Source organism: Homo sapiens, chromosome 12 (genome assembly GCF_000001405.40).
Source record: "Homo sapiens chromosome 12, GRCh38.p14 Primary Assembly".
In the NCBI taxonomy this organism is placed as follows: domain Eukaryota; kingdom Metazoa; phylum Chordata; class Mammalia; order Primates; family Hominidae; genus Homo; species Homo sapiens.
Window position 1 is genome coordinate 45,014,417 of NC_000012.12, and position 12,291 is coordinate 45,026,707.

The 12,291-nt window shown below is 37.6% G+C and overlaps 1 protein-coding gene across 1 annotated transcript in view; it reads right to left on the reverse strand.

Annotated features, from left to right (window-relative positions):
* Positions 1–255: 255 nt before the first annotated feature.
* Positions 256–12,291, reverse strand: part of DBX2 (developing brain homeobox 2) — a 36,428-nt gene continuing 24,392 nt past the window's right edge. Inside the window, exons 3-4 of the mRNA NM_001004329.3 lie at positions 9,291–9,478; positions 256–2,202 (exon numbers count right to left, since the gene is read on the reverse strand). Coding sequence (NP_001004329.2) covers positions 1,870–2,202; positions 9,291–9,478 — 521 coding nt within the window. The 3' untranslated portion in view covers positions 256–1,869. The remainder of the gene's footprint in view (positions 2,203–9,290; positions 9,479–12,291) is intronic.

Genomic DNA, 12,291 nt, shown 5'->3' on the forward strand with positions numbered 1-12,291 from the left:
CTTGAGTGTCAGGGTTCAAATCCCATTTATTAACTTAATGATCTTGGATTATCACCCCAACCATACTCTGCCTTAGTTTCCTTGTCTGGGTAACAGGAATCCTGATAGTAATTACCGTCTACATCATAGGGTTATTGCCATGAGGATTAGATGAGCTAATCCACCCTAAATGCTTAGCACAGTCTCTAGCACATAGGAAGTACCCTATAAATGTAAATGAGGTTAACATTATAAGAATAGAAACCATACTATAAATCATTTTAAGACAGGTTTTAAATTTTAACTTTTGTCAGCAGATCCCTGCTCCCATTCCCCACAATGAGGCACTGAGACACACTTCTAAAATGACTTTTAAGTAAAAGATCATGTGGTAAAGACACAGGTTGACATACCAAGTCCAATTCTATTCGTACAAAATAATTTCCTGCTGTTGATTAAAACCGTTATCTCCTGAAATATCTTTTCTAAACACTAAACCCTCAAAAGACGTTAACTTCTCAGACTCTAGTGGAGTTCAGCAAATTAGAAGCCACCATCATTATGCAGCTTACTCACTAACAAAATGCCACTTAATGAACTTCTGATAGTGTTTCTTGTCCACAGATTGATAAGAGTTTAATGCAAAACCACATCATTTCCTATTTTTGTTTCATTTCCTTCAAAGTGAAACATAATTTCTTCTTGGTCCTGGAGTAAAAACTTCTGGATTAACTCAGCAAATCGTTACCAGAAATGCAATTTTAGAAAGATACAATTTCAGGGTAGTCAAAAAACACAAAACATCTGTGTGGTGTTTGTTAATACATAAAAATAACCTGATATATAAAGTGTATGCCACCTAAGTGGAAAATTGAGTCCCTAACTAGAAGCGCAAACAGAAATCATCATTGATTCTGTTAGTATTGTGGTTTTAAGTCCAGTTAGAAAAATTTTAAGAACTGTGACACCACGGCTTTCTTTAGTCTTAGCCAGAGGTCACAAACTTCTTGGCATAGACATTTTGTTTGGCCAATACAGTATTTGAAAAATTACTTGACTCAAATATCTCTGGGTGGGCCATACCCTCTATTTACCTGACAGGCTCTTAAAGGCATTTTATTTTGCAAACCCTGGTCTAGGCCCATCTTTACAGAGAAGAGATCAAAAAATAATTATTAGTTAAATGGGTCTCTCCCTCATGATGGCCCGATGGTCCAGAGACTTGGAGATTAAGGATACTAATAGTTATATACAGAAATTCTTCTAATTTGCTTGTTAGGTTCATTTTAAATATATATTCTCAGTGTATGTATCTAGCAGTGGCTCATTTGTTGAGGACTGCTGAGCTAAGGTGTTAAAATTCACTTACAGCTGGATACCAAAAGAAGTCAGAAAATAGAGAATTTTTAAAAACATGTTTTTGGGGTATGAAAGTTTGCACTAAAGTCCAAATTTTACATTATTTTCAAAAAGTTAATAACATTCTGTCAATGGTAGTTTTCTTCACATAAAAGGAAGTGAATTTACTCAATGCAATAGTTAAAGAGAAACTAGTTTCTACTAATACATTTTAATGGATATTTATGTATATACACACACATAGAGACAAACACATATATACACATACTCAGAGCAGGGACCGAGCCAGCTGTTGCTCTCCTTCTTTTCAGTTCTGTCATACTTGCTGGGAGATTCTATTCCACTTACAAATTAAGCCTGAGTCTAGGGCCAAACAAGAGAACACTAGAGTGGGTTTCCTAAAGCATTAGTTCATACATCGCTCCAAAGTTGTTAGGCTCTAAGCACTGATGAGGTACAAGCTAGCTGGCATTAGAGTCCAGATGTTACTATTAAGCGTTCTTTTAAATGAACACGGAGGAATGCTTCCATTCAGACAGCCCCAGTAAGTACACCCTTGCTTCCAGCTTCTTCTTCAGAACATAAATATAAGGCACCTTGCAGTGAATTTGCTTCTGGGGGTGGTGCCCCTGAACTCTCCTGGATTAGTCTTTCTGAAGGTTCTGGAGAATTCTCCCTCCATCTTGGACTTGAGTGCTGTTGGGGGACGTCCCATATTGAAGGACATGGAGAAGGGAAACCCAGAGCAGACCGTGAGAGGGGATCCTCTTGAAGACCTACTTCTTGGATACACCTGTTGGAAAGCACTTCCTTTTCTTTGGAATTCCGCCATTTCATCCTCCTGTTCTGAAACCAAATTTTCACCTATTGACAAAATAATTGCACAAAATGATCACTTATTCCAGGTTATTTTACTTCAGCATTTTAAACTGTAATTGCTTCTACTATCCCTTCTACAGAATACCTTATTATGACAGCCAACCTCAAAAAGTCCTTGTGGCTTTTCACATGGGCTCCTTCAAAAATATCCCATTGTATTTTATTTTATTATTATTTTTTTTGAGATGGGGTCTCTCTCTGTCACCCTGGTGCAATCTCAGCTCACTGCAACCTCCGCCACCCAGGCTCAAGCAATCCTCCCATCTCAGCTTCCTGAGTAGCTAGGATGACAGGCATGCACCACCATAACCGGCTAATTTTTATATTTTTTTTGTACAGACAGGGTTTCATCATGTTGCCCAGGCTGGTCTTGAACTCCTGAGCTCAAACAATCTGCCCGCCTTGGCCCCCAAAAGTGCTGAGATTACAGGTGTGAGCCACCACGCCCTGCCAAAAATATCTTAATCTAATATCCCCATACACACATTTGAAACAAAACAACTGTGATAAGTTGGTTACACCCTGTAAGTCTGATAGCTTTCAAAATTCATTTAACTCTTATATATTTTAAAACATCATCTAGTCTGTGCTGAATTATTTATTCAAAGGAAATATATGGGCTAGTATTAGCATCTGAGTGTTTATTTTGTGCCAGGCATCAGGCTATGCACTCGGGATAGATTTTATAATTTGATCGTCACAATGGCTGTAAGAAGTCCTCATTTCACATGTTAAAAAAACTGAAGTTTGGAGACATTAGCTTATGGTCACAAAGCTAGTGAAATGGAAGCACTGAGACTAGAATCCATGATTGTCTGACTCCAGGGTCCAGGCTCTTATAAACAATCAGACCTCATCAGGAGCTTTCTGAGACTAAATTAAGAATCCATTTTGTAATGCTTTGATAAATTGCAGGCTTTATACAGTTTCCAAGTCTTGATTACTCCCAGGATTTATCAAACTGTAAGAATTAAGCTCAATAAATAACAACTAATTGTAATTAAGCCAAAAGTGCTTATGATGGTGGTTCCTAATTTGAACCATATCTTCCTCCAACCCAAAAGAGGTTAGTCTTTATTACAAACCTCCCTCTTTATACACTGTGTAGTCAACTGTGCCTGAGCTGAAAACTTCACAACTGGTTTCCTGGAATCTTAAAAGCCAATCATGTTTTTTCCTGTGTATTGCATCACATCCTTACACTAACAATTTAGTTGATTTCTATTTTTAAAACAAAAACTAGAAAATTTTTACCCAAAGAAATAATTATTATAGCATATCAACCAAGTATTTCTCTCAGTGAAGAAAAAAATTCTATCTAAGGCTCTCATTCCAGATTGGCAAAACAATTTCTTCATTCTTTTTACTTGATTGGCAATGTTCAAAATGGCAACAAAAAAAATCTACCCCAGGCAATTCAGTGCAAAAGACTGTCATCTCAGTTACAACACCATGATTAAGGCTTTTCATACGAAAACAGAACTAATGTGTACATACCAGAGTACTTGGTTCTATTCATTAACTCATTTATTGTTTGCAGTGGGCATTTACTCCTAGAAAGCATGCCAAGTATTTCTAATGGGTTTTCACTGAGACAGTTTTTTGTTTTCATTAGTGATTCTTGCCTTTGTCATCACATTTGTTATTTCCTCTTCTCTTAGCTTTTCTGTATATCTATAAATATTTGTTGTCAAGTGATATCTCAAAGAAAAAATACATAAAAGGAGTTTCCTCACAATCAATGGTGTTGAGACAAATGCATATTTGGGGAGTAACATAAAAGTTCTACCTCTCAAGAAATGCAAAAACAAATTCCAGATAGATTAAATAGCTAAATATAAAAACGAAACTGCAAAAGTTTTAAAAGAAAATAGAGATTATCATGATAGTCTTGGGGAAACGAATGTTTTCATAAGCATGACATAAAACAGAGGATACATGGAAAAGATAAAAAGGAGCTGAATACATAAAAATGAGAAATTTCTGTACAAACATATGAAAAAGCCAAAAACTACCCAACAAAACTAAAAGCAAGAAATCTAAATGATATTTGTACACCCATATTCGCAGCAGCATTATTCACAATAGCCAAAAATGGGAAGCAACCAAGCATCTAGGAACAGATAAATGGATAAATAAAATGTGGTATATACATACAAAGGAATACTATTCAGCCTTGAAAAGGAAGGAAATTCTGGCACATGCTACAACAGAAATGAACCTTGAGGATATTATTCTAAGTAAAACAGGCCAGGATAAAAGTACAAATGCCATATTACTCCACTCATATGAGAGCCTTAGAATAGTCATTAATAGAAACATAAAGTAGAATAGTGGGTGCCAGGAGGTGGGGGAGGGGGAAATGGTGAGTTATTGTTTAATGGATAGAGTTTCAGTTTTACAAGATGAAAAAATTTCTGGAGATGAATGGTCGTGATGGTTTCACAACAGTGTCAGTGTACTTAATGTCACTGAACTGAACACTTAAAAAAAGGTTAAAATGATAAATTCTGCTATGCATATTTTACCTCAATAAAAAAAAGCCACAAACTTAGAAAGGACTTTTGCAACATCTGAAACAGGAAAAATATACTAACCATAATATTCCAAAATTCTTGACTAACAGCCAAAGTATTGCTACATATCAATAAAAAGACAATATGATAGAAAAAAAGATGCAGCCATGAAAAGGCCAATTCACAGACTACAAATGGCCAATAAAACAAATAAAAGCCCCTCACGTTCTGGTAGTTAGGAAAATTCAAATCGAAAAATAACAAATAGCATTGCCCATGAGAGTGGCAACATTTTTAAAATCATAAATGGTGGAGCTTTTGCAAAAAGGGACTATTTGTTAGTAAGAGTGAAATTTTCATATGTCAGTATCTAATTTGATACAATATTGTATTTGGAAAGGAATTTTTAATCTTCTACATTTTAAATGTACACACACTTTTACACATAAATCCCACTCACACTCTCTTACAAAATATTTTTAAAGTGCATAAAAATTTGTGATAGTGAAAATTGGAAGTAACTTAAAATTGACGATGGTGAAATGATGGTCTGTTATGAAAGACAAAAAAGAATGAAGTAGATCTGTATGTACTGACATGGAAGGAAGCAATCCATAATATTCAAAAAGGAAAAAAGCACCAAACAATACACATTATCAGTAGCATTATTCACAATAGCCCAAAACTGAGAACAATACACATGCCCACCATCGGTAAATGGATGAATTGTGGTATACTACATAATGGTAGTACTACACAGCAAGGAATACGCATGAGCTTTTACTACACACAACATGAAGATTCTCACAAACATACTGTTAAGTAAAAGAAGCATATATGATTCTATTTACATAAATTACTGAATACTTTTTTAAATTTGTTAATAGCTTTATTGAGCCTATAATTCACATACCATACAATTCACCCATTTAAAATGTACAATGCAATGGTTTTCATATATTCACAGATAATGCAACCATCACCAATTTTAGAACATTTTCATCACCTCAAAAGGAAATCCCACACCCTTTAGCTATCTCTATTCTATTCCCTGTTTCCCCCAGCCCTAAGCAGATTCATCTGCTTCCTGTCTGTATAGATTTCCCCATTCTGGACTTTCAAATTAACGGAATCATATAATATGTGGTCCTTGTAACTGAGTTCTTTCACTCAGTATAATATTTTCAAGGTTCATCCATATTGTAGCATTATCAGTAAGTACTTCATTCTTTTTTATGGGCAAATAATATTCCACTATATGGATATACCACATTTTGTCTACACACTGAGTAATACTACTTATATAAAAGTACAAAAAGAGGCAAAACTAAGAAGTTAGAAGTTAGGATAGAGGATACCCTTGGAAGGAGCAGATAGTGAGTGGGAGGGGATACCTGGGGGATCTTCTGGCTTCTACTGCTAGATCTGTGAGCTGGATATACAGGTGATTTGTACTGTTCTTTAGAAAATGTCAAAGTACATGCACAATATGATTAGATTTTTATGTATGTATATGTATATATATGTATATATATATATATACACACACACACACACAATTCTCAGCTTCTTCACTTGTGAAATAGAGGTAGTAAAAGTAGCTACTTCATAAAAATTTTGTAAGGATTAATTGACATCAAATGTAAGGGCGCATGGTAAGCATGCAAGTGTTTGTGTTATTATATGTTCATGCATATACAACACACATATAAATTTATTTTTAAAATAATACATGATGTGTCAAAAATTCAAACAAGCGCCATTTGTAAATGACAGAAGTAACCAAGGAATTGGATTCCAGCAGAGTAAGATGAGTTTTCACTTTTATCTTTACAGGTTTCCTTTTCAATTGAATTTACCATAATAAATACCACGTAATTGATATATTTACAAATAAGAGAATGTTAAATTACTTCTGAGATGCTGTAACTGATATATTGATATATTTACAAATAAGACTGATATATTTACAAATTGTAATTGTAATGTTATAATTGATATAATTGTGTAATTGATACATTTGTGTAATGGATATATTTACAAATAAGAAAATGTTAAATTACTTCTGAGATGCTCTACCAAATTCAATAAGACAAAAAGTACTCACTCCTGAGGCACTGAATTTTAAACACAATATAATTAACTATGTAAAACCATGTGCCTATGGATAAGAACCACAAGATGGCAAACAAATAGGAAAATAGTTGTTTTTAGGCAGGAGGAGAGATTGTGGTCATACCCCATAATTTTTATATATGGCTGTGGCATTGTCTTTTCAAAAGTCTCTTTTGGGGACCACAATAGGTACTATCACAGATTTTCACAATTTCTCAGAGCACTGTCAGATGGAACTTAGCTACGTTCCACTGCTTTCCATCTTTTGACACCTACTTCAAGTTTCAACTCAACCAGAGGCTCTCCAAACTCCTAAACCTGCCTGTTTTCTCCCTTCTGACTACAGGAGCTTCTTACACCACTGAGTGGCAGGCCAGGCCCACTGAGCTGCCCTCATGTCCTCTCTCAGGCCCAACAGCTCCTCTGAGATCAGAGAGTTCCACCACTAGACTTTCCAGGAGTAGTATATGGACCAATCACACGGCTGTCCTTTGCAGAGATGGGGATCAACATAAGGCTTCAGAAAGATAAGTAACTTTGAGAACTACCGATCCCCTTATTGGGCAGTATATCTAACCTATCACATGATACTGTCTATATTATTATATAGTTTTATCAAACTTTTTATGAGCTTCCACGGGGTGTGGAAGCTTCTGAGGTGCACAGACTGTGTCTTATTCAGTATTTATCAATACTCCCTGTTATTGCCTACCTACCACAGTGTCTTGCACACAACAGACCATCAAGATCTGGCTGCTGATTTATCTGTTATATACACAAAACTGCTTTGTGATATAGACAGAATTCCTATATTTGTTTCTGTTTTATTTAAGTGAGAAACTGAGGCACAGAACAACCAATTGAGGTTATGGACTCATTAGTACCACACAGCGAGGAGAGCACAGACTGACTAATGTAGGCCAATTACCCTCTACCACACCTCGTGCGGCTTCCTACTACTTGACAAAGTTGGGGCAAGCAGCTTGTGAAGACACTTCCCTAGGGTCAAGGAGAGTTTAGTCCAATAATAACTGTTTTTTTTTTTTTTTTTTTTTTTGAGATGGAGTCTTGCACTGTCGCCCAGGCTGGAGCGCAATGGCATGAACTTGGCTCACTGCAAACTCTGCCTCCTGGGTTCACGCCATTCTCCTGCCTCAGCCTCCCGAGTAGCTGGGACTACAGGCGCCAGCCACCTCGCCCAGCTAACTTTTTTGTATTTTTAGTAGAGTCAGGGTTTCACCGTGTTAGCCAGGATGGTCTCGATCTCCTGACCTCATGATCCGCCCACCTCAGCCTCCCAAAGTTCTGGGATTACAGGTGTGAGCCACCGCGCCCGGCCAATAACTGGTTTTAATAAGGTCCAAAATTAACCACCAGGTCATCTGTAGTGAGGAACAACAGTAGAGCATGGTGGTTTGAACAGAGCCTCCTCTAACCCTTTAGTCCCTTTATGTTAATTCAAAAAATCCAGGCAGATGTAGGCCTGCAACAGAAAACTCAATCTGGCAAACAGAGTTTATGCTGCATTTCAGCCGCCACTATCCCTTTTGGCCAGACGCCTTTGTACAGTGAACTCTATGCACAACTGTACATGGTATTTTTAGGTTAAAGAGAACACAAACTCCAGAGTTAAGCTGTCTAAGGTGGGAGCCTACCTCCAAAACCTCTTTACTACATGATATAGGACCTACGTTCAGTTTCTTCTTTTTCCATTTAGAAAACGGGGATTATTATAGTGTGTATTTCACATGACAATTATAAGGAGGGTTAAATAGGAAACTCCTAGTGCCTTATGATATTATTTGTAATAAGTAGGCCAAACTTTAAATGGAGTATTATACAACTCCAAAAGCTAGAAAGTCCCATTCACAATTATATGAAACCTCAATGAACAAGAAAGGTATGTAAGTGTTGCAAATGTGAAATTGCTTAATTGGACTTGACATAAACCCAAATAACAAAATCATGAAACCCATTAGGAAGTATTCATGAGTCACTCATTCATGGTTTGATTTTTGGATTGGAAGTGAAAAGAAAGATAGTAAAAGTGGTTCCTACTTTTTGAAGAATTATTTACCTGTTTCTCTGAACACAGAGGAAACGATTTATATAATGTAATTACCACATCCTTAGCATCTCTCTTCATTAGAAAATAAAGTACTAGAATGGCAAAAACCTAGACCTCTCAGCAAATGGACCTATTTCCAATAGGAAATGGGACATACATCTCCACCCACTAAAAAATTATGAAAAGCATTTCAAGAACACCTCAGGCTCCAGTACCATGCCTGGTATAAGAAATATTTGCTAAATAAATGGATTCCATTGTGTGCCTTAAGAAATCAGAAGCAGTTGCCTACGGCCCACCACCCTGAACACAACTGATTTCATCTGATCTCAGAAGAAATCAGAGGCAGTAGACATCTTCCTGCTTATTAGTACCTGTGATTCCTTTAGTCCCAAGTTGATGGCAAGTTTCTTTCGGTCTGTTTTGCTGATATATTTCTGTTTCTGAAACATTTTCTCCAGAGCCTTTCTCTGGTCCTCAGAAAAGACAGCTCTTCTTAAAATGCCCCTCCGAGCTTTGGAATTAGAGTCCTGTGTCAGGAGAGGCAGCATGCTCTCTTCTCCTAGAGTCGAGGGAAAAAGATACAAAAGCCCAGTTAGCTTTAGAAAGAAGTCAGTCTTTCCTAGGACAATATGGTATCCTCCTACTTTGTACTATGGCCAAATGACCTCATTTCAACTCTGCTCACTTAAAGCAGTACTTCCTAACTTCTTTTTGGCTATGGACTCTCATCTTGAATTGTAATCCCCATGTGCTGAGGGAGGGACCTCGTGGGAGGTAATTGAATCATGGGGGTGGTTCCCCCATGCTGTTCTCATGAAAGTGAATGAGGTCTCACGAGATCTGATGGTTTTGTGAGGGGCTTTTCCCCACTTTGCTCTGCACTTCTCATTCTTCTCCTTCCTGCTGCCATGTGAAGAAGGACATGCTTGCTTCCCCTTCTCCCACGATTGTCAGTTTCCTAAGGCCTCCCAGCCATGCTGAACTGTGAGTCAATTAAACCTCTTTCTTTTATAAACTACCCAGTCTCGGGTATGTCTTAATTAGCAGCATGAGAACAGACTAATACAGACTCCTCTGAGAATCTGATAAATACTCTTTGCTCCCCATTGTAGGGGAAATGTACATTTGCTTGTCCTCCCAATTTGCATGCCACATCAAGGCCCAAGGCCCAAGGTCCCAGGTTACAAAGCCCCGATACGGATTAAGTAGTAGGTGGTTTAAATACTTCATTTTTCTCTAATTCTTCATTTGTTTATTTATTCATTTTTTCAACAAAATTTTGAACACTTACTATATGCCAGACACTCTGCTCAATATTACACATTGAGAAATAAGACAGGTATGTTTAATTGCTCTCATTACCTGTAAGATATGGTGGAAGGGCATTTATTGAACTAGCATCACAAATGTGTTGTATTCCTAAGGAGGGAGATTTGGGAACACAAAACAAGGGGTCTGACATAAACCTGGGATAGGGAAAGCTTGCAAAAGTCAGAGATGTTTAATCTGAGAAGAGAAGAGAGAACTGAAGGGCTCTCAGTTACTCCCCTACAATTCCATTGATCATCAACCCCTTGAGGTAAGAGACATTTGCTACTCTTTCTGCCTTTTTGTGCCTAGCACAATACTGGTTCCCATGCTCTGAGAGTTTACAGGCTTTCATAGTTCATTCACTCATTCTGCTTCCCAGGTGTGGCAGGCAGAGTAATGGCTCTCAGAGATGTCCATGTCCTAATCCCCAGAACCTGTGAATATGTTATGTTACATGGCAAGGGGAACTAAGGTTGCAAATAGATTAAAGTTGCTAATCAACTGACCTTGAGATGAAGAGCGTATCTTGTATTACCCAGGTGGGCCCAAAGTAATCATAAGATTCCTTATAATTGGAAGAGGGAGGCAAATTAGGAGGTCCTAGTCAGAGAGAGATTTCAAGATGCTACTTTCTTGCTTTGAGGTTGGAGGAAGAGGCCAGAAGCCAAGGAATGCAGGCAGCCTCAAGAAGCTGGAAAAGACAAGGAAACAGATTCTCCCCAGAGCCTACACAAAGAACACACCCCTGCTTGATTTTAGCCCTATGAGACCCATTTCAGGGTCTGACCTCTATAACTATAAAATAATAAGTACCTGTTGCTTTAAGACACTCAGTTCATGGTAATTTGTTACAGCAACAATAGAAAACTAATACACTGGGTATCAGGCTCACTGAGCCAATTGCTGAAGAAACCAGACAAAGAGCACATAGTTCCCACCCTAAAGGAGCTCACCTTCTTATGGGAGGGGTGATCCATGAACATTCACTCTGTAACATAGCACCAGGAAGGCAGCTACTATGTAACATAGCACCAGAAAGGCAGCTACTATGCATTCTGGTGCTTAATAATTATTTACTGAATAAACAAGTAAATGAATGTCATAAGTACTAGAATAGAAAGATCTGCAAAGTGCACTGGCATCACAAAGGAGGAAATGATGAGTTCGGAGAAAACAGTCAGGTTGAGTCAAGTATAAAAGAACAATACCGTTTAAGAGAGAAAGAACCAAAGCCAATTCAAACAGTTACTAGTATGTCTGAAAGCCCAAGGAATAAAGTCTATCCAAGGAAAAGTAAGCAGTCATCAAGGCTGGGGAAAGGCATAAAGCAGAGGCTGCATGAGGGCAACCATATCCAGCCTGCAAATGGGCTTTTTTTGGTCTTAGCATGTTGGTTAAGAATTCTGATTTAGTTGTCCACATTTAAAAAGCGGGAAGTTTCACATAAAGTCCAGATTTCTGACACCTCTTCAAAGGTAACCACACTGGGCTCAGAGTGAGTAGCAGGTGCCTCTTTTTTAGATGGAACATGTGGCTCCAGTCTGCCACAGCCTTGCTTAGCTTGCTTTTTACCTGCCAGGCCTTTGAAGATATTTGGACCTCTAAAGTGGAATGGAGTCAGTTAATAGAGAACTGCAAGGGTTTGGGTAGGTAACAAAGATCAATAGAAGCAGGGCAGGACATAATAATAAACATACACTGAACACCACTGTTAATGCTTACTTTGTGTTAAGCCACTGACATGCATTATTTCATTTAATTCTCACATTGAATCTATGGCATGAATGCTACTATTACTCTCTCCATTTTACAGAAATAAAATGAAACTTAGGAAGGTTAAGTAACTTTGTTCAAGGTCACAAAGCTAGGGTAAAGCTAGGGTTTCAAACCCAGGAGACAGATACCACAACAAATGTACTAACCCTACACAATACTGGCATAAACTGATTTGTATTTTAGAAGGAAAAAGTCAACAAATCTTGGCTTCTACAATGTGATAGCTTCCTTTTCTATTTGTCTAAAAGATTACAAACATCTCCTGGCTAAGCCCTGGGTTACATC